Source organism: Homo sapiens, chromosome 17 (genome assembly GCF_000001405.40).
Source record: "Homo sapiens chromosome 17, GRCh38.p14 Primary Assembly".
Lineage (NCBI taxonomy): Eukaryota > Metazoa > Chordata > Mammalia > Primates > Hominidae > Homo > Homo sapiens.
Genome location: NC_000017.11, coordinates 8,186,764 through 8,212,117, shown reverse-complemented (window position 1 = coordinate 8,212,117; position 25,354 = coordinate 8,186,764). Strand labels below are relative to the sequence as shown.

General features: G+C 50.8%; 2 protein-coding genes, 1 long non-coding RNA gene and 4 other non-coding genes across 21 annotated transcripts, besides 16 other annotated features; 3 read left to right on the top strand and 4 right to left on the bottom strand.

Annotated features, from left to right (window-relative positions):
• Positions 1-1,542: 1,542 nt before the first annotated feature.
• Positions 1,543-7,387, top strand: AURKB (aurora kinase B). Of its 15 annotated transcripts, none has more exons than NR_132730.2 (9): positions 1,543-1,588; positions 1,869-1,941; positions 4,278-4,380; positions 4,493-4,547; positions 4,751-4,800; positions 5,230-5,368; positions 5,479-5,627; positions 6,728-6,902; positions 7,074-7,384. NR_132730.2 is itself a non-coding variant. In NM_001313950.2 (9 exons), exons 2-9 carry the CDS (start codon positions 1,894-1,896, stop codon positions 7,245-7,247), a joined length of 1,035 nt encoding a protein of 344 aa, NP_001300879.1. In that variant the 5' UTR covers positions 1,543-1,588; position 1,893; the 3' UTR covers positions 7,248-7,384. The 15 variants fall into 15 exon arrangements, 13 of the variants coding, with proteins under 13 accessions (NP_001300879.1, NP_001300882.1, NP_004208.2 ...); NM_001313950.2 differs by having other exon boundaries at positions 1,893-1,941; positions 4,751-4,942; NM_001313953.3 differs by having other exon boundaries at positions 5,184-5,368.
• Positions 1,652-2,311: an enhancer, noted in NCBI's record as "H3K27ac hESC enhancer chr17:8113125-8113784 (GRCh37/hg19 assembly coordinates)". NCBI's record gives its function as "activates a minimal SCP1, AML or CMV promoter by ChIP-STARR-seq in naive H9 embryonic stem cells {active_cell/tissue: H9 hESC(naive)}" and the evidence as "EXISTENCE:reporter gene assay evidence [ECO:0000049][PMID:30033119]".
• Positions 2,041-2,090: an enhancer, noted in NCBI's record as "active region_11684". NCBI's record gives its function as "activates an Ori minimal core promoter by ATAC-STARR-seq in GM12878 lymphoblastoid cells {active_cell/tissue: GM12878}" and the evidence as "EXISTENCE:reporter gene assay evidence [ECO:0000049][PMID:35858748]".
• Positions 7,919-8,419: an enhancer, noted in NCBI's record as "H3K4me1 hESC enhancer chr17:8107017-8107517 (GRCh37/hg19 assembly coordinates)". NCBI's record gives its function as "activates a minimal SCP1, AML or CMV promoter by ChIP-STARR-seq in primed H9 embryonic stem cells {active_cell/tissue: H9 hESC(primed)}" and the evidence as "EXISTENCE:reporter gene assay evidence [ECO:0000049][PMID:30033119]".
• Positions 11,693-12,182: an enhancer, noted in NCBI's record as "nonconserved acetylation island sequence 72". NCBI's record gives its function as "activates a minimal heat-shock promoter by reporter assays in Jurkat T cells {active_cell/tissue: Jurkat}" and the evidence as "EXISTENCE:reporter gene assay evidence [ECO:0000049][PMID:17135569]".
• On the top strand, positions 11,890-20,843 carry LOC124903913 (uncharacterized). Its single transcript, XR_007065604.1, has 2 exons — positions 11,890-12,905; positions 19,618-20,843. It is a non-coding gene; the product is annotated as an uncharacterized LOC124903913 (long non-coding RNA).
• Positions 15,782-16,091: an enhancer, noted in NCBI's record as "active region_11683". NCBI's record gives its function as "activates an Ori minimal core promoter by ATAC-STARR-seq in GM12878 lymphoblastoid cells {active_cell/tissue: GM12878}" and the evidence as "EXISTENCE:reporter gene assay evidence [ECO:0000049][PMID:35858748]".
• Positions 19,562-19,661: an enhancer, noted in NCBI's record as "active region_11682". NCBI's record gives its function as "activates an Ori minimal core promoter by ATAC-STARR-seq in GM12878 lymphoblastoid cells {active_cell/tissue: GM12878}" and the evidence as "EXISTENCE:reporter gene assay evidence [ECO:0000049][PMID:35858748]".
• Positions 21,479-22,124: an enhancer, noted in NCBI's record as "OCT4-NANOG-H3K27ac-H3K4me1 hESC enhancer chr17:8093312-8093957 (GRCh37/hg19 assembly coordinates)". NCBI's record gives its function as "activates a minimal SCP1, AML or CMV promoter by ChIP-STARR-seq in primed H9 embryonic stem cells {active_cell/tissue: H9 hESC(primed)}" and the evidence as "EXISTENCE:reporter gene assay evidence [ECO:0000049][PMID:30033119]".
• Positions 21,479-22,146: a biological region, named in NCBI's record as "OCT4-NANOG-H3K27ac-H3K4me1 hESC enhancer GRCh37_chr17:8093312-8093957".
• Positions 21,867-22,146: an enhancer, noted in NCBI's record as "active region_11681". NCBI's record gives its function as "activates an Ori minimal core promoter by ATAC-STARR-seq in GM12878 lymphoblastoid cells {active_cell/tissue: GM12878}" and the evidence as "EXISTENCE:reporter gene assay evidence [ECO:0000049][PMID:35858748]".
• Positions 21,938-23,773, top strand: BORCS6 (BLOC-1 related complex subunit 6). The gene has a single exon (NM_017622.3). The coding sequence runs from the start codon at positions 21,978-21,980 to the stop codon at positions 23,049-23,051; it is 1,074 nt and encodes a 357-aa protein (NP_060092.2). The 5' UTR covers positions 21,938-21,977; the 3' UTR covers positions 23,052-23,773.
• Positions 22,125-22,771: an enhancer, noted in NCBI's record as "H3K27ac-H3K4me1 hESC enhancer chr17:8092665-8093311 (GRCh37/hg19 assembly coordinates)". NCBI's record gives its function as "activates a minimal SCP1, AML or CMV promoter by ChIP-STARR-seq in primed H9 embryonic stem cells {active_cell/tissue: H9 hESC(primed)}" and the evidence as "EXISTENCE:reporter gene assay evidence [ECO:0000049][PMID:30033119]".
• Positions 22,257-22,306: a silencer, noted in NCBI's record as "silent region_8175". NCBI's record gives its function as "represses an Ori minimal core promoter by ATAC-STARR-seq in GM12878 lymphoblastoid cells {active_cell/tissue: GM12878}" and the evidence as "EXISTENCE:reporter gene assay evidence [ECO:0000049][PMID:35858748]".
• Positions 22,507-22,566: a silencer, noted in NCBI's record as "silent region_8174". NCBI's record gives its function as "represses an Ori minimal core promoter by ATAC-STARR-seq in GM12878 lymphoblastoid cells {active_cell/tissue: GM12878}" and the evidence as "EXISTENCE:reporter gene assay evidence [ECO:0000049][PMID:35858748]".
• Positions 22,637-22,686: a silencer, noted in NCBI's record as "silent region_8173". NCBI's record gives its function as "represses an Ori minimal core promoter by ATAC-STARR-seq in GM12878 lymphoblastoid cells {active_cell/tissue: GM12878}" and the evidence as "EXISTENCE:reporter gene assay evidence [ECO:0000049][PMID:35858748]".
• Positions 23,910-23,959: an enhancer, noted in NCBI's record as "active region_11680". NCBI's record gives its function as "activates an Ori minimal core promoter by ATAC-STARR-seq in GM12878 lymphoblastoid cells {active_cell/tissue: GM12878}" and the evidence as "EXISTENCE:reporter gene assay evidence [ECO:0000049][PMID:35858748]".
• TRI-AAT5-5 (tRNA-Ile (anticodon AAT) 5-5) lies at positions 24,452-24,525 on the bottom strand. The gene has a single exon. It is a non-coding gene; the product is annotated as a tRNA-Ile (tRNA).
• Positions 24,820-24,929: a silencer, noted in NCBI's record as "silent region_8172". NCBI's record gives its function as "represses an Ori minimal core promoter by ATAC-STARR-seq in GM12878 lymphoblastoid cells {active_cell/tissue: GM12878}" and the evidence as "EXISTENCE:reporter gene assay evidence [ECO:0000049][PMID:35858748]".
• TRT-AGT1-1 (tRNA-Thr (anticodon AGT) 1-1) lies at positions 24,885-24,958 on the bottom strand. Its single transcript has one exon. It is a non-coding gene; the product is annotated as a tRNA-Thr (tRNA).
• On the bottom strand, positions 25,114-25,173 carry MIR4521 (microRNA 4521). The gene has a single exon (NR_039746.1). It is a non-coding gene; the product is annotated as a microRNA 4521 (primary transcript).
• Positions 25,171-25,252, bottom strand: TRS-GCT4-3 (tRNA-Ser (anticodon GCT) 4-3). Its single transcript has one exon. It is a non-coding gene; the product is annotated as a tRNA-Ser (tRNA).
• Positions 25,180-25,229: a silencer, noted in NCBI's record as "silent region_8171". NCBI's record gives its function as "represses an Ori minimal core promoter by ATAC-STARR-seq in GM12878 lymphoblastoid cells {active_cell/tissue: GM12878}" and the evidence as "EXISTENCE:reporter gene assay evidence [ECO:0000049][PMID:35858748]".

Genomic DNA, 25,354 nt, shown 5'->3' with positions numbered 1-25,354 from the left:
TTAGTATAAGTTAATTGGGGCTCATTTCTGGACCTGCAATGAAGTCAGTTTCCTTCTCAAATCCTCAAAACTCTAAGTGCTTTCAGAAGTGGGAATAAAGCTGGGCGCAGTGGCTCACGCCTGTAATCCAAGCACTTTGGGAGACCAAGGCGGGCGGATCACCTGAGGCCAGCCTGAGCAATGTGATGAAACCCCGTCTCTACTAAAAATACAAAAATTAGCCGGGCGTGGTCACATGCACCTATAATCCTAGGTACTCGGGAGGCTGAGACAGGAGAATCAGTTGCACCCTGGAGGAGGAGGTTGTGGTGAGCTGAGATTGTGCCATTGCACTCCAGCCTGGGCAACACAGCGAATCTTCATCTCAAAAAAAAAAAAAAAAGTGAGATTTAAATAGGTCTTCATCAACCTAGGGATTTGGGGTTGTCAGCAACAGAAACTACTACAGAAACCGACTGCATAGACTGGAGAGACAGGTGGTCCCCTAAAGGAAAAATAGAGTGTTAGAAGAAAGGAGAAGAGTGCTGGACAGTACATACTTAATAAATATCCACTGGTTATTTCATAGAAGGCCCAAAAATGTATTTATTTAACCCAGTAATGAAATCTGAGGGTTAGGAAGAGCAGAAAAGAAGGAAGTGTGGCAGGAAGGAGGAAAAATGAAAGTGGGCCCAAACAACACGGCAGCTAACAGAGATCTTGCAACGAAAGGTCTATTGGTGGAAAAACTCCTCCCAGGAATGTCAGAACTTTTAAGAACGACATAGTAATGACACAAGAATAAACACACAGGCAAATGAGCAAACAACGGAATACAAAGTCTAGAAATAGACACAAGTAAATATGCTAACATTATATATCAAGGGCAGCATTTAAATTCTGTTGGGGCAGTTTGTTTAACAAATGGTGTTGACATAACTGGCGCTCCATCGGGCAGAGAAGTTAGACCCCAGCTCATACATGCATAAGGATAAACTCCAGTTACATTAAAGATTTAATTTTTTTTATAAAAAGAAGAAGGCCGGGCACGGTGGCTCACGCCTGTAATCCCAGCATTTTGGGAAGCCGAGGCGGGTGGATCACCTGAGGACAGGAGTTCGAGACCAGATTGGCCAACACAGCGAAAACCCGTCTCTAATAAAAATACAAAAATTAGCCAGGCGTGGTGGCGGGCGCTTGTAATCCCAGCTACTCGGGTGGCTGAGGCACGAGAATCGCTTGAACCCGGGAGGCAGAGGTTGCAGCAAGCCCAGATAGCACCATTATACTCCAGCCTGAGCGACAGAGAGAGACCTGTCTCAAAAAAGGAAAAAAAAAAAGAAAAGAAAAAGCAAGATAATTCACTGGGGGAATTTGGGGAAACTTTCCTAAACTGGAAGCCAAGCGTGAGCCCTTCTCATTCCGCCTCTTCCATTGGGTTCCCATGACTTACGTCACAGGACATCGAGCCAATGGGAACTAGGCATGGGCGACGAGCTTGCCCAATGGGGCCGGGGCGGGAGATTTGAAAAGTCCTTGGCCAGGGCGCGGCGTGGCAGATTCAGTTGTTTGCGGGCGGCCGGGAGAGTAGCAGTGCCTTGGACCCCAGGTGAGCTGGCCTCCTGTCGCAGGCCTTGCGCCGGGAGTGGGCAGATGATCAGGTAGATCAGAGGGTCCGTTGGGCTGGCCTGCGCGCACGCCGCAGGGCTGGAAGGAGGTAGGGACGATAGCAGGGCGGGGGCGGTGAGACCAGCGCCCAGATTGGGGCTAGTGTGCTGACCTGCTCCCTTTTACCAGCTCGGGCTAGCGCTTCCGGCTCGATCGGTCCAACCCCTCCCTCTCTCTCTCTTTTTCTCTGCTTCTCACGGCTGTTTCCCTTCTCCGCCCAGCTCTCCTCCCCCTTTCTCTCTAAGGATGGCCCAGAAGGAGAACTCCTACCCCTGGCCCTACGGCCGACAGACGGTAAGGCCCTTCCCTCCGTCCCTGCGCCCCCATGACCCCGCATGGCGAGTTCCTGCTGGGAAACTTGAGATCCTGCAATGAGCAATCCTTTAAGCACTTTCTTCCCCGTTATGCTCCAAAGTACGGGTCCCAAGTTTGACGACAGAACCCGCTCTGGTCATTTGTAGCCACATCCTGTCAGGTGCTGCCAACGTGAATCTGACCAGCCAGTGACTCCCAGCTGGTGAGGACCTCTGCAGGGCTCGTCACATACAAATGATATCTGGGACTGAGCAGGCAGGGCCTGGCCTTCAGGCCATGATTCCCAATCCATATCCTGAAAAAAAAAAAACTAGACAGCAAATAGAAATAGACTCTAAAAGGATATAAAGTTACAGTTTAAAAGGCCCAGGGCAAGTCTAAATTACAATTTGGAATTAATGACTAAATTGAGGTAAGAATCTAAATGGATCTAAATTGACTTATTTCCCAATGGTCCAGACAGATTTCATTGAAGGGCCTCCTCTCTGATTTGAAATGCCACCTTTATTATATATATAAATTCCCACATATATGTGGGTCTATTTCTGGACTGTATTTTATTCAACTTGCTTATTTGTAGATTGGTACCAATATCACTATTTGGGGCCTAGGGGCTTTCTTCTCTTGGCTGCAGAAGAAGGAAGGGGCCCTGCACAGGCTTTGCTCCCTGTTTTTGGAGCTCTTGCTTCCTGGAGAGTCTGTCTGTTCCCTTGTACATCAGCTCCCTCCCTCATGGAGCACTGAGTGAGGCTGTCAGGAATGGAGTCTGAATGAGAAACCATTGTCACTTTTACCTTAGTCACTCCTAAAAGAAAATGTACCTATTATTTTGAGAGTTGAAAGTGAGGCCAGGTAGGTGGCTCACGCCTGTAATCCCAGCACTGGGAGGCTGAGGCAGGTGGATCACCTGAGGTCAGGAGTTCGAGACCAGCCTGGCCAACATGGTAAAACCCCGTCTCTACTAAAAATACAAAAATTAGCCAGGCATGTGCCTGTAATCCCACCTACTCAGGAGGCCGAGGCAGGAGAATTGCCTGAACCTGGGAGGTGGAGGTTGCAGTGAGCCGAGATGGCACCATTGCACTCCAGCCTGGGTAATAGAGCGAGACTCCATCTCAAAAAAAAAAAAAAATGAAGAAGTTGAAAGTGAGAAGTGGTCCAGGGCCATCAGGGTAGCTCTTAGTGTCCTTAAAGCCTGTTCTTGCAAAAGTGTAAATCCTGGTTATTGCTATAACATTCAAGGCCTCAAGCATCTTATCTAAGCCTTAATAAACTAAGCTTTTTAGGAGACTTTGAGAATACCTCTGTGCTAAACCCCTTGAATTGTGGGTGTTCATTGACGCAGCTCTCTACTGTGGTGTAAGTGAGGGGCTGGATGAATGACTGTGTTGTTATGGACAGGACTTATACAGGTTGAACAGCTTCATGCCTGAAAAGTGTGGGCCAGGGCCAAAGAAGTGAAATGTTAGGTGTTGGTGTGAGTCCTTTGCCCCTTATCTTAGGCCTACTTAGGTTATTTATTTTTTATTTATTTATTTATTTATTTATTTATTTATTTATTTTTTGAGACGGAGCCTCACTGTGTTGCCCAGGCTGGAGTGCAATGGTGCGATCTCAGCTCACTGCAACCTCTGCCGCCCAGGTTCAAGCGATTCTCCTGCCTCAGCCTCCCGAGTAGCTGGGATTACAGGCGCCTGCCACCACACCTGGCTAATTTTTTTTTTTTTTTTTGAGATGGAGTCTAGCTCTGTTGCCCAGGCTGGAGTGCAATGGTACGATCTCGGCTCACTGCAACCTGTGCCTCCCAGGTTCAAGCGATTCTCCTGCCTCAGCCTCCTGAGTAGCTGGGATTACAGGAGCGTGCCACCACGGCCAGCTAATTTTTGTATTTTTAGTAGAGATGGGGTTTCACTGTGTTGGCCAGGCTGGTCTCAAACTCCTGACCTTGTGATCCGCCTGCCTCGGCCTTCCAAAGTGCTGGGATTACAAGCATGAGCCACCACGCCCAGCCGCACCCAGCTAATTTTTTATATTTTTAGTAGAGATGGCGTTTCACCATGTTGGCCAGGCTGGTCTTGAACTCCTGACTGCGGGAGCCACTGCGCCCAGCCCTAGGTTGTTTATTAATAACCCATTTTAATATGGGACTATGAGCAGAGGCTGGGAAGCAAAACTGTCACATCAGTGTTTCTCTTTGAATTGGGGGTAGGTGGGTGGGTGGCTCTTTAGCAAGGGGCTGAAATACTGCTTGCAGCACATTCCACCCCGGTCATCAGACAAAGGCACCCTCAGAGCTACCCCCTGCTCCTTCTCAGGCTCCATCTGGCCTGAGCACCCTGCCCCAGCGAGTCCTCCGGAAAGAGCCTGTCACCCCATCTGCACTTGTCCTCATGAGCCGCTCCAATGTCCAGCCCACAGGTAACTGGCGCAAGGGGGAGAGGACTGAGCTGGGGAGATGACCGTCTGTGGGAGGGTTTAGGGATGAGAAGGTCATCCCTGTTCGCATTCAACCTACCTGTTCTCTCCTTAGCTGCCCCTGGCCAGAAGGTGATGGAGAATAGCAGTGGGACACCCGACATCTTAACGTAAGTGCCCCAAGCCTGGGGGTGGACGGGGGTGAGGGGACAATGAACAGGCAGGAAGTCGGGGAGATAAAACCTAAGCACGGGAGGAGTAGGGATGAAGACAAGTGGGGCGGAGGACAGGATGGGATGAGGAAGCAGAGAGAAAGCAAACCTCTTAATAACCAAAACCGGTTCTGAGTTGCCTTCCTCCACTTTCTAAGCAGGCGGCACTTCACAATTGATGACTTTGAGATTGGGCGTCCTCTGGGCAAAGGCAAGTTTGGAAACGTGTACTTGGCTCGGGAGAAGAAAAGCCATTTCATCGTGGCGCTCAAGGTCCTCTTCAAGTCCCAGATAGAGAAGGAGGGCGTGGAGCATCAGCTGCGCAGAGAGATCGAAATCCAGGCCCACCTGCAGTATGGGTTGATGCCCCCTGAGCCGAAGCCCCTCTGCTCCCTCACCCCCAGCTCCTCATTCAGCCCCACTTCATCCAGATTGCTTTCTCTGTAGCTATGGCTAGTGAGCCCCATTTAGCTCTTAGTCCTGGCAAGCCTTGAATCCAGAAATCTGCCTCCAGTTTCCCCTTACCACTCCCAGCCCTGGTGTCCCCGGCCTGGGCCACGTCTGACCCCAGTTTGCTCCTATCATCTTTTCCAGCTCTTTTATGCCTTTGGCCTGAGGCCTCCTCTGTCTCTTCCCCCAGCCATCCCAACATCCTGCGTCTCTACAACTATTTTTATGACCGGAGGAGGATCTACTTGATTCTAGAGTATGCCCCCCGCGGGGAGCTCTACAAGGAGCTGCAGAAGAGCTGCACATTTGACGAGCAGCGAACAGCCACGGTCCGGGCGGGTGGGCACCTGGGGCGCCAGTAGGGGGCTCGAGGCTGAGGGTGTGCTGCTTGTAGCTGGAGGTCCATCCTTGTCTGATTGCCTGTCGTTGCCCCTCCCAGATCATGGAGGAGTTGGCAGATGCTCTAATGTACTGCCATGGGAAGAAGGTGATTCACAGAGACATAAAGCCAGAAAATCTGCTCTTAGGGCTCAAGGGAGAGCTGAAGATTGCTGACTTCGGCTGGTCTGTGCATGCGCCCTCCCTGAGGTATGGTGGCCTGGGAGGCCAGACCTGGGTGTGAGGCTGGGCCATTAAAACCTCTCCAGGGGCCGTGCACCGTGGCTCACACCTGTAATCCCAGCACTTTGGGAGGCCGAGGAGGGCGGATCACCTGAGGTCAGGAGTTCGAGACTAGATTTGCCAACATGATGAAACCTTGTCTCTACTAAATATACAAAAATTAGCCGGCCATGGTGGCGGACGCCAGTAATCCCAGCTACTGGGGAGGCTGAGGCAGGAGAATTGTTTGAACCTGGGAGGCGGAGGTTGCAGTGAGCCGAGATTACGCCATTGCACTCCAGCCTGTGTGACAGATCGAGACTCTGTCTCAAAAAAAAAAAAAAAAAATGGTTAGAGTGTGGTGCTAATAACCCCAAGGTCGCAGGTTTGATCCCTGTAGGGGCCAATGGTAAAACTTTGGCCAGGCGCGGTGGCTCACGCCTACCAGTCCCAGCACTTTGGGAGGCCAAGGCGGGTGGATCACTTGAGGCCAGGAGTTCAAGACCAGCGGACCAGCCTGGCCAACATGATGAAACCCCATCTTTACTAAAAACACAAAATTTATTAAGCAGACATGGTGGTGCACACTTGTAATCCCAGCTGTTCGGGAGGCTGAGACATGAGAATCACTTGAACCCGGGAGGCAGAGGTTGCAGTGAGCCAAGATCGCCCCACTGCACTCCAGCCTGGACTCTCTCAAAAAAAGCCCGGAGCAGTGGCCTTTTTTCCTCCCACATCACTTTTTAATGGTTTCATAGTATCACATAGTAGCTGATTTATTTAACCAGAACATGCCTGATGGGCATTAGAGATGTCCCCAGTGAACTCCAAATGAACACTGCCCTCATATCAGGGTATCTTATTAAGATATATCCTTCAGTGTGGAGTTGCTGGGCTGTGTGCAGGCTCACCTCTGGGGCTTTGGGATATATCATCACCCCAACCCCACCCCCACTCCAGTGGCCTTGCCTGGCTGGACCTCTCCCCTGGTACATCCCGTGGTCTTTTGGCTCCCAGCCGTCAGGCAGCAGGGAAAGGAGAGTTCCTATGTCACTAGGACCCCTGCCCACGCCCCTTATCCCTCCCAGGAGGAAGACAATGTGTGGCACCCTGGACTACCTGCCCCCAGAGATGATTGAGGGGCGCATGCACAATGAGAAGGTGGATCTGTGGTGCATTGGAGTGCTTTGCTATGAGCTGCTGGTGGGGAACCCACCCTTTGAGAGTGCATCACACAACGAGACCTATCGCCGCATCGTCAAGGTGGGAGGGCGGCCTGGGCTTCGTGCCAGCTGCTGAAGCCAGGAGCTGGGGGGCTGGGGGTGGGCAGAGTGTATTTGCATGGCCCTAAGTAACTCCAAACAGAATGGGTAGTCAAGGAAGATGTAGCCAGGGTGAAACTAATGCAGCCCTTCCATCTCTTCACACCTGCAGGTGGACCTAAAGTTCCCCGCTTCCGTGCCCATGGGAGCCCAGGACCTCATCTCCAAACTGCTCAGGCATAACCCCTCGGAACGGCTGCCCCTGGCCCAGGTCTCAGCCCACCCTTGGGTCCGGGCCAACTCTCGGAGGGTGCTGCCTCCCTCTGCCCTTCAATCTGTCGCCTGATGGTCCCTGTCATTCACTCGGGTGCGTGTGTTTGTATGTCTGTGTATGTATAGGGGAAAGAAGGGATCCCTAACTGTTCCCTTATCTGTTTTCTACCTCCTCCTTTGTTTAATAAAGGCTGAAGCTTTTTGTACTCATGAGTGTAGATGTTTCTAGGTGGAGGCTTTGCTGTGGAGGAAGCTGTTCCCTAGAAGGAGAGCTGGCTCACCCTGAGGAGCCGGGATGAGCATTACTTTGCTATCCCTGGTAACACCCTACCCTCTCAGCTCTGACACCCACCTGGTCAGCTCCCAGCCACCCCAACCCCTACCCCCACTTCCACCTCTACCCTCACTGTCTATTCTTTCCGTTGCTCAGACTCCCACAGCCCAGGGGCACTGGGGGCCCTGGCTCCCCATTGCTACATTGGAACACCAGCCATCTCTGGCCACCTTCTTTCACCTCTCTCTTGGTTGTCCAACTTCTAGTTTTTCCTTTTCTGTTTCATTCTCTGCCCCTTTGCCAACGTAGGAGCAACTAAACAGTTCTGTACCCTAGAAGCTGTCTTTGATTATTTCACTGCTCTGGTCAGGATCTAGTACAGGAGCCAATAGAAGCAGCAGTGATTCTGTCTTGTTCCTGACATGAGGTTACACTGTTATGCATGATGCTTGCTGTAGGTTTTTGATAGATACCCTTTATCAGGTTAAACAGGGCCTATTCTACTCATAGTTTACTCAGAGTCTTTAAAAAAAAAAACAAAAACAAAAAAACAGTTAAGTCTGGGCGCAGTGACTCATGCCTGTAATCCCTGCACTTTCAGAGGCCGAGGCAGGCAGATCACAAAGTCAGGAGATCGAGACCATCCTGGCCAACATGGTGAAATCCCATCTCTACTAAAAATACAAAAATTAGCTGAGCGTGGTGGTGCACACCTGTAGTCCCAGCTACTCAGGAAGCTGAGGCAGGAGAATCGGTTGAACCCGGGAGGTGGAGGCTGCAGCAAGACCAGATCGCACCAATGCACTCCAGCCTGGCTACACAGCAGGACGGAGTCTCACCCTGTCATGCAGGCTGGAGTGCAGTGGCCCGATCTTGGCTCACCGCAACCTCCAACCTCCTTTCAGGTTCAAGCTATTCTCCTGCCTCAGCCAGCCAAGTAGCTGGGATTACAGGCGCACGCCACCAAGCCTGGCTAATTTTTTTGTAGTTTTAGTAGAGATGGGGTTTCACCATGTTGGCCAGGCTGCTCTCGGACTCCTCACCTCAGGTGATCCACCCTCCTCGGCCTCCCAAAGTGCTGGGATTACAGGCGTACCACGCCTGGACAAGTTTTTTTTTTTTTTTTTGAAACAGAGTCTTGCTCTGTCGCCCAGGCCAGAGTGCAGTGGTGTGATCTCAGCTCACTGCAGCCTCCGCCTCCCGGGCTCAAGTGATTCTCCTGCTTCAGCCTCCCGTGTAGTTGGTATTACAGACATGTGCCACCACTCCTGGCTAATTTTTGTATTTTTAGTGGAGACCGGGTCGGGGTTTCACTGTGTTGGCCAGGCTGGTCTTGAACTCCCGACCTCAAGCAATCTGCCCACCTCGGCCTCCCAAAGTGCTGGGATTACAGGCGTGAGCCACTGCGCCTGGCAGGATTGATTGATTTTTTTTTTTTTTTCTTAATTCATTGCTTTACACCAAGCCTCTAGAACAGTACCCGGAATGTAGAGGACACTCAGTAACTACTGTCAAATGAATAAATCTAACCAAAATTATGGTGGCAGTGGGGTGGAAGAGTGAATTCCTTGAATTTTATAGCAGGAAAAAAACAGGTCATGCCTAAAACTGAAAACTTAAGAAGCAGCAACGGAAGCATGTGATTTAAAAACGTATGGTAGGGGCTGGGCGTGGTGGCTCAGGCCTGTAATCCCAACACTTTGGGAAGCCAAGGCAGGTGGATCACCTGAGGTCAGGAGTTCGAGACCAGCCTGACCAACATGGTGAAACTCTGTCTCTACTAAAAAAATACAAAATTAGCCGGGTGTGGTGGTGCACGCCTGTAATCGCAGCTACTTGGGAGTCTGAGGCAGGAGAATTGCTTAAATCCGGAAGGCAGAGGTTGCAATGAGCTGAGATCACGCCATTGCACTCCAGCCTGGGCAACAAGAGCAAGACTCCTTTTGAAAAAAAAAAAAAGAAATCTGTACTTGTACACCCTGAGAACGTAAAAATTAAAAAAATAAAAATAAAATATACGTGACTGTTGTTTAACAACTTAAAAAAAATGTATGGTAGGCCAGGCTCAGTAGGCCATGCCTGTAATCCCAGCACTTTAGGAGGCCAAGGCGGGCGGATCACGAGGTCAAGAGATCAAGACCATCCTGGCCAACATGGTCAAACCCTGCTTCTACTAAAAATACAAAAATTAGCTGGGCATGGTGGTGTGTGCCTGTAGTCCCAGCTACTAGGGAGGCTGAGGCAGGAGAATCTCTTGAACCCGGGAGACAGAGGTTGCAGTGAGCCGAGGTCAAGCCACTGCACTCCAGCCTGGCGACAAAGTGATACTCCGCCTCAAGAAAAAAAAAAGTATGGTAAATACCCAAAGCAAATCAAAATAAAACAGTGAAAAGACTTGGAACTGGCTATCTCTAGGGAGAAAGAAATGGGCGGGGTGCTTATTTATTTTTTATTTTTTGAGACGGAGTTTTGCTTTGTCACTCATGCTGGAGTGCAGTGGCACAATCTCAGCTCACTGCAACCTCCACCTCCCAGGATCAAGCGATTCTCCTGCCTCAGCCTCCCGAGTAGCTGGGATTACAGGCATGTGCCACCACGCCCAGATAATTTTTGTATTTTTAGTAGAGATGGGTTTCACCATGTTGGCCAGGCTGGTCTCAAACTCCTGACCTCCAGTGATCCACCCGTCTGGGTCTCCCAAAGTGCTGGGATTACAGGCATGAGCCACTTCACCCATCCTGTAATTTTCTTTCTTTCTTTTTTTTTTTTTTTTGAGACAGAGTCTTCTGTCACCGAGGCTGGAGTGCAGTGGCACGATCGCGGCTTACTGCAAGCTCTGCCTCCTGGGTTCACGCCATTCTGCTGCCTCAGCCTCCCGAGTAGCTGGGACTACAGGCGCCCACCACCACGCCCAGCTAATTTTTTTTTTTTTTTTTGTATTTTTTAGTAGAGACGGGGTTTTCACCATGTTAGCCAAGATGGTCCCGATCTCCTGACCTCGGGATCCGCCCGCCTCGGCCTCCCAAAGTGCTGGGATTACAGGCGTGAGCCACCGCGCCCGGCCTTTCAGCCTATAATTTTTAATAAGGATATCCCTAGGGTTTTTTTTAAAGCTCTTCTACTGGATGCACATGCAGATTATTTCCAATGCTTTGCACTGTGGCCAGTGTCTTTTGAGTGCCTCCTGTGCACCTTTGTGATGGTCTCTAGTTGTCCTCTAGGGGACATCTGAAGAAAGACATGGCAATGGAGAGTACCAGCATCTAGAGAAAGACGTGGTAATGCTGGGTACACGCAGGTAAACGGTCTATAGATATCACCAAAAATGCCCCTCTAAGTGGTGGACAGTTTACACTCCCACCGGCAATAATGAAGGACACCTATTTTCCCACAGCCTTAACGCTGACTCCTACTTCTACTGTTACCTGCGGGTAAGCCTGCAGCTATCCGGGAAACTCCGGAGTTGCAACTCTGCAGCAACCTCTCTCCTCTGTTTTCTCGAGGGCAAGAATTCAAACGAGATAAAGGCAAGGTTTTTGCTTTTTCTCAAGACGGAATCTTGCTCTGTTGCCCAGGCTGGAATGCAATGGCGCGATCTCGACTCACTGCAACCTCCGCCTCCTGGGTTCAAGCGATCCTCCTGCTTCAGCCTCCCGAGTAGCTGGGATTACAGGCACGCGCCACCACGCCCGGCTAATTTTTGTATTTTTAGTAGAGACGAAGTTTCACCATATTGCCCACGCTGGTCTCGAACTCCTGACCTCGTGATCCGCCCCCTCCTCGGCCTCCCAAAGTGTTGGGATTACAGCCGTGAGCCACCGCACCCGGCCAAAGGCAAGGTTTAAGGCAGAAGGGAGAACTGATTTTAAGCCAAGTGAGAGTTTATTACAAGACAGTACACTTAGAAGAGGACAAGGCTGGAGACTTGAAAAATCAAGCGCCCCTTCCTTTTCTTTGTTTAGAGTTTTTTGTTTTTTGTTTTGAGACGGAGTCTCGCTCTGTCGCCCAGGCTGCAGTGCCGTGGCACAATCTCGGCTCACTGCAAGCTCCGCCTCCTGGGTTCAGGCTATTCTCCTGTCTCAGCCTCCCGAGCAGCTGGGACTACAGGCGCCCGCCACCACGCCCGGCTAATTTTTTGTATTTTTAGTAGAGATGGGGTTTCACTGTGTTAGCCAGGATGGTCTCGATTTCCTGATCTCGTGATCCTCCCGCCTCTGCCTCCCAAAGTGCTGGGATTACAGGCGTGAGCCACCGCGCCCGGCATGTTTAGAGATTTTACACCCCCTACGTTTTCCCGCACTCTCTGTCTCCTCCTTATGTTCTTCCCTTGAGCGGGCTGTGGCTTAATTGCCGCATGCGCAGTGGCCTGCCGGCGTTTGGGAGGGACCGCATGCGCAGTGTTCACCGAAGTCCAGCGCATGCTCGTTAGGGGCAATTCGCCCTTTCTGGTCCAGAGCCCCCACAGGAAGGTTAGATACCGATCAAATTCAACCATTTTCTTTTTTCACTGCACATACTTAAAACCTTATAGGGGTGATGGCTTGCTAACTCCTGTTGCAAGACTCCTCTTACTCCCAGCACCAGCGATGGCCACTTATTATCTCAGACGGATGGTTGTATGCCTGCCGGTCCTTCACTCGATGAGAACCAGCTTGGGGGTTCTTCCCTTCTCGTGCTCATTATGTCAGAGGGACAGATTTCTAATCGCTTGACCATGGCTTGACAAATGCCCAGCATACCTGGAGGCCCTCTTTCCTGCCTTCATGTCTACCTACTCTAACATTACAAAGCATCCCCAATATATTGGCTTTTCTACTCCCGAAAACACCAAAGCTCCCCACAGCTCCCACACTAGTGATACCCCCTCTTCTCTGAGAAACAGCAGAACCAAACAGGGGTCTTGTACATTCCAATCACCAATTGCCCCAAGTTACCTCTGTTCACCTATTATCTGTCTTTCCCCTTCTCAAGTCCTGTCAGGGAGCCCCTCCAGATATACTCTGAACCCAGGCCTCCTACTATTCAACAACTTCATTCCAGTAATTGTCCCCTTTCGCTTTTCTACCATTTATATATATATATATATGTGTGTGTGTATACACACACATATCTATATCTATATCTATATCTATATATCCTTTTTTTTTTTTTGGCTGGATAAGTCTCATCACCATGCAAACATCTAGCATCCAAAAAAAAAAAAAAAAATAGGCCAGGGAGTTTGGCTCAGGCCAACTTTATATCTGTAAGCTCTGCCTCAATATCTGTGTGGAGAAGAGTGACGACAGACTGACACAGGCAGCCAAGGTGTTGGAGCAACTCACAGGCCAGACCCCTGTGTTTTCCAAAACTAGATGCACTGTCAGATCTTTTGTTTTCAGGAGAAATGAAAAGATTACTGTTGACTGCACAGTTCCAGGGGCCAAGGCAGAAGAAATCCTGGAGAAAGGTCCAAAGGTATGGGAGTATGAATTATTTTTTCTTAACTTCTCAGATACTGGAAACTTTGGTTTCCAGGAACACAAGAATCTGGGTATCAAATATGAAATCTTTGGCTGCGACTTTCTTTCTTTTTCTTTTTTTTTTTTGAGACAGGGTCTCACTCTGTCATCCAGGCTCAAGTGCAGTGGTGTGATCACAGCTCACTGCAGCCTTGAACTTGTGGGCTCAAGCAATCCTCCTGCCTCAGCCTCTGGAGCAGCTGGAACCACAGGTGCACACCACCACACCCGGGTAATTTTTTTTTCTCTTGTAGAGATGGGGTCTTATTATGTTGCCAAGGCTGGTGTTGAACTCCTGGGCTCAAGCGATCCTCCCACCTCGGCCTCCCAAAGTGCTGGGATTATAGGCTTGAGCCACTGTGCCAAACCCATGGTTTTATTTTTATTTTATTTTTGAGATGGAGTCGCTCTGTCACCCAAGCTGGAGTGCGGTCGCACAGTCTCAGCTCACTGCAACCTCCGCCCTCCGGGTTCAAGCAATTCTCCTGCCTCAGCCTCCCGAGTAGCTGGGATTACAGGCGCGTGCCACTGTGCCTAGCTAATTTTTATATTTTCAGTAGGGGTTTCACCATGTTGGCCAGGGTGATCTTGAACTCCTGACCTCAGGTGATCCACCCGCCTCAGCCTCTCAAAGTGCTGGAATTACAGGCGTGAGCCACTGTGCCCGGCCCAGCCCGTGGTTTTAAATACGACTCCCACATTTGTATTTCTCACCTTGACGTCCCTATCAAGCTTGAGACTAACACATTCTTGGCAATCTAATAGGCTTCTCAAAGTAAGCATGCCTAAAATAGTACTTTTTTTTTTTTTTAGACAGAGTTTTGCTCTGTTGCCCAGGCTGGAGTGCTGTGGCATGATCTCGGCTCACTGCAACCTCTGCCTCCCGGGTTCAAGCGATTCTCCTCCCTCAGCCTCCTGAGTAGCTGGGATTACAGGCACACGCCACCATGCCCAGCTAATTTTTTTTTTTTGTATTTTTAGTAGAGACGGGGGTTTCATCATGTTGGCCAAGCTGATCTCGAACTCCTGACCTCAGGTGATCCCCCGACCTTGGCCTCCCAAAGTGCAGGGATTACAGGCGGGAGCAACCACGCCTGGCCTAAAATAGTATTCTTAATTCAGTGCCCACCCAATCAAAAAAGTTGTAACTTCCCCATCTCAGTCAATAGCACTATCATTTAGCACCCAGTTACTTGGGTCAAAAACCTAGAAATCATTCCTGGTTTCTCTCTTTTTTCTTCCTCACCTCCCCAGATCTTCCAACTCTTCCTATTGCCAACCAAATCCATGGAGAGGCCCACCTTTATTACACACACACCCCATCACTCTCATGCTGGTTCAAGTCACCATCCTTTCTGGCTTGGGTGATAACAACCTCCTAACTATTCTCTCTGCTTCTTCTGTTCCTGCCTCCTAGAGTCCATTCCCCCAACAGTCAAAGTCAGAGCATATCATTCCTCTGTTCAAAACCCTCCTTTGGTTTTTCGGTGTATTTACAATAAAATCAAAACTCCTTATCATGGCTGGCAAGGTCCTATCTTCAGGGGTTATCAACAATGGCTGCACATTAGAAACATCTGAAGGACTTAAAAAGAAAATAGGAGACCGGGCGCGGTGGCTTACGCCTGTAATCCCAGCACTTTGGGAGGCTGAGGCGGGCGGATCACGAGGTCAGGAGATCAAGACCATCCTGGCTAACACGGTGAAACCCTGTCTCTACCAAAAATACAAAAAAAAATTACCTGGGCGTGGTGGTGGGTGCCTGTAGTCCCAGCTACTCAGGAGGCTGGGGCAGGAGAGTGGCATGAACCCAGGAGGCGGAGCTTGCAGTGAGCTGAGATCGTGCCACTGCACTCTAGCCTGGGCGACAGAGCGAGATTCCGTCTCAAAAAAAAAAAAACCAAAAAACAAAAAACTCCCAGGCCTTGCCCTAACAAATTCAGATTTCATTGATCTGGGTTGAGGCTGGAGCATCCATGTCGCTTTTAACTCCCCAGGTGGTTCTGAGGGGTTCAGAAGCCCTTCCCTAAGAGTTCTGGTCCTTCCCCACCAATGGATGCTCCTCTGTAACTGCTCTTCCACTTCCATCACTAAAGCTCTGACCTCGGCTGGGCGCGGCAGCTCATGCCTGTCATCCCAGCACTTTGGGAGGCCGAGGCGGGTGGATCACCTGAGGTCTGGGGTTCAAGACCAGCCTGGCCAACATGGTGAAATCCCATCTGTACTAAAAATACAAAAAAAAAAAAAAAAAAAAAAAATTAGCCGGGCGTGGTGGCGGGTGCATGTAATCCCAGCTACTTGGGAGAATGAAGCAGAAGAATCTCTTGAACCCCGGGAGTGGAGGTTGCAGTGAAGCAAGATTGGGCCATTGCACTCCAGCCTGGGCAACAAGAGGGAAACTCCATCTCAAAAAAAAAAAAGAAAAGAAAACAAAGACATCATCTCCTCACACGTGAAAATTCCAAGTATCCAGAGCAAGAGCCATCCCCAAATGTAATGTAAAACCATGGCATAATTCTACATGCCACATAAAACCTGCATTCCACCCCCATCCCACTCAACAAGCCCTACAGACAATACAAGGGCTGATGCCCTGGGGTATGGGGAGAAAACTGTCCTAGTTGACATTCTTCTAAATGCTGAGCATAGCTGACTGGGGCATTTGTTCATTTTTGGGACTTGATGATCACCTTACCTTCCCACTGAATGGATGATGCCAAAAAAAGAAAGCAGAAAAGATATCCAGCCTTGCTTGTTCCCCTGATAGGTCGGCAGATAACTTCTCTCTACTTCTGTGAAGTAATGTGGGCACTGGCAACATTGAGGGTGGGTAATCTGACCCCCACCCCTACTGTGGCCTATGGAGGGGTGAGACCTGTGGATGATCGAGCTTTCACTTTGAGTCAGCATGTCTCACTTTGAATTCCTTCACCATTGCTTATTAGCCATGTGACCTTGGCCAAGTTATTTTTGTATTTTTGTGAGTCTTTTTTTTTGAGACAGACTCTGTCACCCAGGCTGGAGTGTGGTGGCGCTGTCTCAGCTCACTGCAACCTCCGCCTCCTGGGTTGAAGCGATTCTAATAGAGACAGGGTTTCACCATGTTATCCAGACCAGCCTTGAACTCCTGACCTCAAGTGATCCACCTGCCTCGGCCTCCCAAAGTGCTGGGATTACAGGCGTGAGCCACGGCACCCAGCCAGCCACTGCGCCTGGCCTTTTGTGAGTCTTTAAGATGGAAATAACAGTCATTTCTTACGTATAACATGGGCTGTTCCCAATTGCATTAATATACATAGACATCTTGTTTTGTTTTGTTTTGTTTCGTTTGTTTGTTTTGAGATGGAGTCTCACTCTTGTTGCCCAGGCTGGAGTGCAATGGCATGATCTCCGTTCACTGCAACCTCCACCTCCCAGGTTCAAGTGATTCTCCTGCCTTAGCCTCCCGAGTAGCTGGGATTACAGGCATGCGCCACCACACCCAGCTAATTTTTATATTTTTAGTAGAGACAGGGTTTCACCATGTTGGCCAGAATGGTCTCTAACTCCTCACCTCAGGTGATCCACCGGCCTCGGCTTCCCAAAGTGTTGGGATTACAGATGTGAGCCACCGTGCCTGGCCCTTACATAGAAATTTTTACTTTCTAAAAATAATATTTTAAAATGCTGTTGGGGGCTGGGCGCAGTGGCTCACGCCTGTAATCCCAGCACTTTGGGAGGCTGAGGCGGGCCAGGTGGGGCGAGGTGGATCACGAGGTCAGGAGATCGAGACCATCCTGGCTAACACGGTGAAACCCCGTTTCTTCTAAAAATACAAATAATTAGCCGGGCATGGTGGCGGGCGCCTGTAGTCCCAGCTACTGGGGAGGCTGAGGCAGGAGAATGGCATGAACCCGGGAGGCAGAGCTTGCAGTGAGCCGAGATCATGCCACTGCACTCCAGCCTGGGCGACAGAGTGAGACTTCGTCTCAAAATAAATAAATAAATAAAACAAAATAAAATAAAATGCTGTTGGAGGCCAGGCACTGTGGCTGATGCCTGTAATGCTAGCACTTTGGGCAGATCATCTTAGGTCAGGAGTTTGAGACCAGCCTGGCCAACAAGGTGAAACCCTGTCTCTACTAAAGATAAAAAAATTAGCCGGGTGTGGTGGCATATGCCTGTAGTCCCAGATACTCAGGAGGCTGAGGCAGAGAATCGCTTGAACCCGGGAGGCGGAGGTTGCAGTGAGCTGAGATGGTGCCACTGCACTCCAGCCCGGGCAACAGAGCAAGACTGTGTCTCAAAAAACAACAACAATACAACACACAAAAAAAAGACAATACATAAGTGAATGAACATAGCTGTGTTCCAATAAAAATTTATAGACTCTGAATTTTTTTTTTTTTTTTTTTTTTGGAGACAGCGTTTCATTCTGTTGCCCAGGCTGGAGTGCAGTGGTGTGATCTTAGCTCACTTCAACCTCTGCCTCCTGGGTTCAAGCAATTCTCGTGCTTCAGCTTCCCGAGTAGCTGGGACTATGGGCACACATCACCATGCCCAGCTATTTTTTTTTTTTTTTTTGAGATGAAATGTTCTGTCGCCCGGGCTGGAGTGCAATGGAGCGACCTTGGCTCACTTCAACCTCTGCCTCCTGGGTTCAAGCAATTCTCGTGCTTCAGCTTCCCGAGTAGCTGGGACTATGGGCACACATCACCATGCCCAGCTATTTTTTTTTTTTTTTGAGATGAAATGTTCTGTCACCCAGGCTGGAGTGCAATGGAGCGACCTTGGCTCACTGCAACCTCTGCCTCCCTGGTTCAAGCGATTCTCCTGCCTCAGCCTCCCGAGTAGCTGGGATTACAGGCACCCGCCAATATGCGCGTCTAATTTTTGTATTTTTAGTAGAGACGGGGTTTCACCATGTTAGTCAGGCTGGTCTGGCACTGTTAACCTCAGGTGATCTGCGCACCTCGTCCTCCCAAAGTGCTGGGATTACATGTGTGAGCCACCACGCCCGGCTTCCCAGCTAATTTTTGTACTTTTTGTAGAGACAGGGCTTTTGCCATGTTGGCCAGGCTGATCTTGAACTCCTGGCCTCAAGTGATCCAACCGCCTCGGTTTCCCAAAGTGCTAGGATTATAGGCGTGAGCCACTGTGCCCAGCCAACTTTCATATTCTCTAGATTATTTTCAACAGCTGGGCAGGGTAGCTCACGCCTTTAATCTCAGCACTGAGTCTGAGGCAGATGGATCACCTGATCTCAGGAGTTCAAGATCAGCCTGACCAATATGGTGAAACCCCCATCTCTACTAAAAATACAAAATTAGCCAGACGTAGTGGCACATGCCTGTAATTCCAGCTACTTGGGAGGCTGAGGCAGGAGAATTGTTTGAACCTGGGAGGCAGAGGTTGTAGTGAGCTGAGATTGCGCCACTGCATTCCAGCCTGGGCAACAAGAGCGAAACTCTGTCTCAAACAAACAAATAAAAACATAAAAGCATTCTTAGCTCATGGCCGTATAACAACAGGTGTTGAGCTGGATTTGGCCCTTGGGCTATACTTTGCTGAACCCCACTGTAGTGGACACTGTGGTAGCCTCCTGACAGCCCCTCCTGCCTTCCCATTATGTCGCAACTGTTTGAATTTGGAAGGAACTGACCCATCCCTAGCTCCAGGAGGAGCATAACTCTTAACCTAATCAGTTAATTCTTTTTTTGAAATAGGGTCTGGCTCTGTTGCCCAGACTGGAGTGCAATAGTCCGATGATAGCTCACTGCAGATTCAACCTTCTGGGTTCAAGCAATCCTCCCGCATCAGCCTCTACAGTAGCTGGGACTCCAGGTGTGCAACACCATGTCTGGCTAATTTTTTTTTTTTTTTTTTTTTTTTTTTTTGAGACGGAGTCTCGCTCTGTTGCCAGGCTGGAGTGCAGTGGCACAATCTCGGCTCACTGCAACCTCCGCCTCCCGGGTTCAAGTGATTCTCCTGCCTCGGCCTCCAGATTAGCTGGGATTACAGGTGCGCGCCACCACACCGGGCTAATGTTTTTGTATTTTTAGTAAAGGCGGGGTTTCCCCATGTTGGCCAGGATGGTCTCGATCTCCTGACCTCGTGATCCGCCCACCTCGGCCTCCCAAAGTGTTGAGATTACAGGCGTGAGCCACCGCGCCCTGCTGATAATTTACATTTTTAAAGGATCATTCTGGTTCTCTATTGAAAATAGACTGTAGAGAGAGGTGAGGGTAGAAGAAGTGAGACCATTCGGGAAGCAACTTCATTTATCCAGGCCAAAAATGATGGTGGTTTGGACCAGGGCAGAAACAATGGTAAGGATGAGAAGTGGTCAGATTCTGGATGTATTTTCGAGCAGAACCAACAAGATTTCCTAAAGGATTGGCCATGGATTATGACAGAAAGAGGAGTCAAGTACAACTCCAGGGTTTTTGGCCTTGGCCACTGGGAAGATGGAGTTGCCACTTACTGAGACAGAAGTCACCGTAGGAAGAAACAAGGTTTTGCGGGGGAGGTGGTGCGATAGGGGTGGGGCAAGGAACCAAATCACAGGAAGGATAAAGGTGGGGCTATCTTCAGGCTGGCACAGGAATTCAAACGCTCTCAGAACTCATGCCTCTTCATCTTTTGTCTCTGGTTCTCTTCCTTATCAGCCTCATTCTTTCCTTCTACAGACAGCGATCTCCTGGACATGAAAGATGGACAAGCTGATACCCAGCTTGAGCTCTCAAGAGAACAGAAAGGCGTCTCACACTCTCCACAAAGCTAGAAACAAACAACACTGTGGAGGATTTTTACTGGTCATACATTGGGTCATGTGCCCTTCCCTGAGCCAATCTGCAGTCAGAAGGATGAAGTACTCTAATTGGCCAGTTTTGGGTCACGTGCCTGTTCCTGGCTGTCATTGCACCAACACATCAGGGAATGGGGAGTTGAGGAGTGAGGAGCTTCCCCTACACAGAGAGACGGTGGGTAGCCCATTTGTCCGCTAAAACCTTCAAGATACATCTAGAATGCATCCATCCACATCGTGCTAGGCTGAGCTACTATCACCTGGTACTTGGAACCGCCTCCTCACTGGTCTACCGTCTCCCTTGCAAACATTTTCTACAACAGCCAGTAATCCCTAAACATGAATCCCATCACATCACTCTCTTCCTGTGCTCAGCTTCCCATTCTCAAGGGAAGTCCTCCCATCTTCTAAAGAATATCTACCTACCCAGCCCAATTATATATGAGCTTTTTAGGTTTTTTTTTTTAGAGCAAAGGAATGACAGGTTTTGTCAAGCTGCAGGTGACTATAAGATACAGACAGCTGACAATTGTGGACTCCTCAGGCGTGGTGAAAGATTGAGCTACTATCATTAGGGTTGGCTGGCTAGGACCCCGGCAGGCACCTGGGGATAGTAGTGCTGGGAAGTTCTGGGGAGTTGCACTTCTGAATGCTGGCATGACACTGCCTCAAGACATCTCTCTATCCAAATGGAAAAAACAACCACATCCTTTGTCAGCTAAGGAGAGTTAGCAAACTGTTTTTATTAAATACTGATGTCTGGCCGGGCACGGTGGCTCACGCCTGTCATGCTAGCACTTTGGGAGGCCGAGGCGGGTGGATCACTTGAGGCCAGTAGTTCAAGACCAGCCTGGCCAACATGGTGAAACCCCATCTCTACTAAAAATACAAAATTAGCCGGGCGTGGTGGCGGGCGCTTGTAATCCCAGCTACCCGGGAGACTGAGTTAGGAGAATCGCGTGAACCCAGGAGGCGGAGGTTGCAGTGAGCCGAGATCGCGCCACTGCACTCCAGCCTGGGTGACGGAGTGGGACTCTGTCTCTAAATACATAAATAAATAAATAAATAAATAAATAAATAAATAAATAAAAATACTGATGTCTCCAAGCTTTGGCTATGTGTTGCAATGTACAACCTTTCCAATGTCGCTGCACCATTGCATTTAGAGGAAATCTCCATTCCCTAACAGGAACTACAAGGCCCCCTGCATGACGTGGCCCCTGCTGCCTGTTCAGCTCCTTGGCTCGAAATCCTTCCCCTTATCTTGCTGATTTTGTTTTAGTCCCAATGTCTCCTGCCCCCTCACCTCAGTTTCTTGAATACGTCAAGACTTCTTTGTCTCTGAGAGGTAGCTCAAGTTTTCTTCTCTCTGCCTGGGGGGTGGCTGCGTCTTTTTGGTTCTTTTTAGTTAAAAGTCTCACCAAAGAGGTATTTTCCTGACCCCTTACCTAAACTAGTGCCTGCTCAGTTATATTCTCAATCATAACACTTTATTTCCTGTATAGCACATATCAAAATTTGTGATCATTTCATTTGTTGAATATTTTACCTCGTGGCAAAATCACACGCCATCCTCCAAGGGGCGAGACCCCTCAGTGTGAAAGGGGCAAGAGACACAGAACAAGAGTGACAAACGCATAGGAAAGCCCAGAGGCCGCTGCCTTGACCACAGTGGGTCGCTCTGAGCAGTTCAGTGGTTAGGTCTCTTAACCAAGAAAGATAGAGCAAACCATTCATGCTCATGCTGGACTTCTGGTTTCCTTCTTTTTAGTCAACTAGGTTCAACCCTGATGGTCCAAGAAGGATATGCCATTTTCATCCTAAGAACCTCTCTAGGAACCCCAAGTGGGCTCCCCACTTGGTATTTTTGCTAAGCAATCACTGTTGGGGGGGGTACAATTACAGGCAGAAAGGATCTGAGCCCCACCCCTCGGGACTCAGGAATTTGAGGACCTTGGTCTTTAAGATCTGCCCCATCAGCTTTCAGAAAGGGCGGGGCGACGGGAGCAGCTGTCACCTCCTTCTCTCCACCCTGCCGGCGTTCACGTGTGTTCCGCTGTGCAGTAACAGCTCTTCTTCCGGGACTTCCTGGTCGCCGCGACCAATCAAAATGCTTTTCCTGTCCTTACCATTGTCAGCCGCTGCCAATCGGCTCGCCTCTACCAACGCCCCTTAAAGGCGCAGCCACTGCCTCCGGAGCCGGGGCGAACCAATTCCTCCGTTGCGGCCCCCACCTGCAGTATGGAGTCGTCTCGGGGGCGGCCCGGGCCCGAGACGGACCTTCTGGCTGTAGCGGAACATCAGGCCCTAGTCTTTGGCGGCGGGCCGGGCCGAACGTCCTCTGAGCCGCCCGCAGGCCTCCGGGTGTCCGGGGAGGAAGAGACCGAGAACGTTGGGGGCGCGAACCGCCACCCCAGGACGTCCCCGAAGACGTCAAGCTGCGGCGTCGTCCACCGGCCGGAACGGGAGGCTCTGGAGAACGAGCCCGGCCCTCAAGGGACGCTGTCTGGGGCCGGGAGCCGCAGGGGGGCGCCGGGTGCAGAGCACGAACCTTCCCTGTCCTCCCGGCACAAGAACCCGGCGCCGCCCGAGGGCAAGCCCTCCTCCGGGAGGGACTGCCGTCGAGGGGGACCAGGCGGCGGGATGGATGTTGAGCAGCAGGAGGAGGAAGACAACGACGAGGAGGCGGCCGCGGGCAGCAGAGCCGGCCGCTCGTTCTCCAGCCGTCTTCAGGACAGCCGCAGCCTGGACGGGCTGAGCGAGGCGTGCGGTGGCGCCGGGTCCTCAGGGAGTGCCGAGTCCGGCGCGGGCGGCGGACGCCGCGCCACCATCTCCAGTCCCCTGGAGCTCGAAGGCACAGTGAGCCGCCACGGCGACCTTACCCACTTTGTCGCCAACAACCTGCAACTCAAGATCCGTCTGAGCGGCGCGCCTCCACCCCCGCCTTCTGCCCCTGCGCGGCCCTGCCCAGCGCCTGCACCCACACCCACACCGGCCATTCCCCCAATCGACCCCGAGGTGCTGCGGGATCTGGAGCGGTTGAGTCGGGAGCTGGGAGGCCGGGTGGACCGTCTGCTTCGCGGTCTGGGTGGCGCGGTGCAGGAGCTGACGGCGCTGAGCGTGGGTTGCATCCAGACCTACCGCGATGCTGTGGACTCCTTAGGTGAAGCCGTGGACATGAGCATCAAGGGCATGTACACCCTGCTGGCGCGCTGCGAGGAGCTGGAGCGGGCTCTGCAGCCGGTTCAGGGGCTGGCGCGCCAAGTCCGGGATATCCGACGTACTCTGGAGGTGTTGGAGGCCCTGTGCAAGTGACCAGGAGGACAGGAGAGGCCGGTCCTGGCCAGGGCAGGGCCCAGCAGGACCCTAAGGACTCTTCAGGGAGTCCTGGTGGGAAGTGCCCACTGAGGGGAGGCCTGTGTGTTGGAGGCTCTTCCAGATGCGTTCAGCTGGCCCGTGCCCACTCGCTGGGCCTTAGGCTGGTGTATGTGGGGAAGTTCTAACGGCTCTCCTGGTGGGAAGGGATGTTGCTCTGCTTGTATTCAGTTGGCCATCTGTAGCTACCCTGTTCTTCCCAACTCTCCTCCCTAGCTAGAGCACCAGCCCTGGGAACACGGGGCTTTAGGTCTGCTTGAAGGTGAGGACGTGACTCCCACATGTAATCAGGAGAAAGGGACAGAGGAAGCCCCAGCCCCCACTGTGGCTATCCTGACTCCAGTGGCCACATCTCAGGTGCCAGGGGCTGTGGGAGCTTGTGCCGTCCTTGGCCAAACACCCCGCAGGCAAAGATGCACCCCTGCTGATGGAGAGCCTTCTGCTTCTGCCCTCTGGCCCTCTACCATACCACTTCCCCAGCCAGAACCGGCGTGCAGCTAGGAGGAATGGGTTGCACGGCGGAGGGGGTGAGGTGGGAGGCGTCTCACTGCTCTCAGGGTTCAGGTAGAATGTTGCTGGTTTTGAAGCTCACCTGTTGTGGAGTGTTCTAATCAGTTTTGGCTTTCTGAGTTTTTGTGGAATTAAAGTGCTGCTGCTGCGAAGGCTGAGGCTGAGTCTGTGTGGGGTTGCAGTGATTAATAAGCCAAAGGAATGGGAATGAGGGTCGGTGTTGTTCACGCAGCTCCCTTGGGGCTGGTGCTGGGAGTGGGGTGGGGGTGGAGATGTCTCAGGCTCCGTGGGGAAAGATATGGTTCTTGCTCTTAAGCATCTGGTCTGAGGGGAAATGTGAGGACACAGATAATCACTCACAGGGGCCCAGAGATCCGGTAACCACAGAAACGTAAAAAAGATGCTCTAGAAGAGAAGGGGAAGAAATTGTCTTCTCAGGTCCTCATGAATAGGCAGGGGCTGGGTGGATTGGACGGACATCTTACCTCTGGGGGAAGACTGGGAACACTTGTCAGCTCTATTCCTGACCATTTCCCACACTCTGCAGATCAGTGCCACGTGGTTTGAGACAAATTTGTCCCAAAGCCTTTTGTTTACAGTTCACACAGTAAGTTCAGGAGCCATATATTGTGGCCATAAGATGTAGAAGCAAAGATCACGAAACAACCCCGGTTTCTCTCAATCCCTTCCTCTCAAGACACGCCCACTTTAGAATGCGCTCCAATACGCTCCCTGTTCTGGGATTGGAAATGTGGCGCTGTTTTTCCCCAGAGACGTTACTTGGCTCTAAAACGGAGTGCAGTAATCGTACTTTCGAAAAGTTTCAATCCTGGCCCGTACGGGGATCGAACCCGCGACCTTGGCGTTATTAGCACCACGCTCTAACCAACTGAGCTAACCGGCCAGTTGCTACGAAAAGCTTGAAATAAATCTATTTAGTTACAATACTGTTCAGTTCTCTCGGGAAAAACCTTCAGTTGTGGGACTGCTTTATGAGAAATGAAAACAGAACACAAACACTGACTAACTGAGCACCTAGACGAGTAACAGACAGTACTGGCAAGTACAGATGATGCGACTGGTGTAACTGCAGGTCGAGGCGCAAGTACCATGTGCACGAAGAGCAAAAACCCAACAGCGTGTGGCAGATGCACCGGGAGAGGATAGATGGGTACGTGAGTAAACCATGTAGGATGGAAGTTATGAGTTTCTGCAACTGTCCTCACAATGTTTAATGTTGGCAAAAGCGTGGGGGAAACACGGAGGCACCGCTGGGATTCGAACCCAGGATCTCCTGTTTACTAGACAGGCGCTTTAACCAACTAAGCCACGGCGCCGCCGGAAAGACGCTTAGGATCTTGTTTCCTTGGCCAGGTCAGCTGAATTGCAGAGAATGAATACAAAGATGTCACAAAAAGTCGGCTGCATACGAAAATGAGGAAAGGATGGATGCAGCTGGGAAAGACACGAAAACTGAATGGAGTGACTGGGGGTAACAAGAGAAATCCTAGTTTTGATGCTACAAAACTGAGCACAGGACTTCCTTAGCCGACGAGGATGGGATTCGAACCCACGCGTGCAGAGCACAATGGATTAGCAGTCCATCGCCTTAACCACTCGGCCACCTCGTCTGCAGACAGCCCTCGCTGTTCAGACTGCCCTCCGCATCTCACTTCTCTGGAACCTGAACTTCCTGCAGGTGGGGCTCGCCTACGTCGTGAAGGCTGCACATT

Excerpts from the sequence above, each read along its gene's own strand:
- AURKB (NM_001284526.2), top strand. The coding sequence starts at position 1,894 with ATGGCCCAGAAGGAGAACTCCTACCCCTGGCCCTACGGCCGACAGACG. Across the intron at positions 4,381-4,492 it reads CTCCAATGTCCAGCCCACAG|CTGCCCCTGGCCAGAAGGTG; the intron begins GTAACTGGCGCA and ends TTCTCTCCTTAG. Across the intron at positions 4,943-5,229 it reads GAAATCCAGGCCCACCTGCA|CCATCCCAACATCCTGCGTC; the intron begins GTATGGGTTGAT and ends CTCTTCCCCCAG.
- BORCS6 (NM_017622.3), top strand. The coding sequence starts at position 21,978 with ATGGAGTCGTCTCGGGGGCGGCCCGGGCCCGAGACGGACCTTCTGGCT.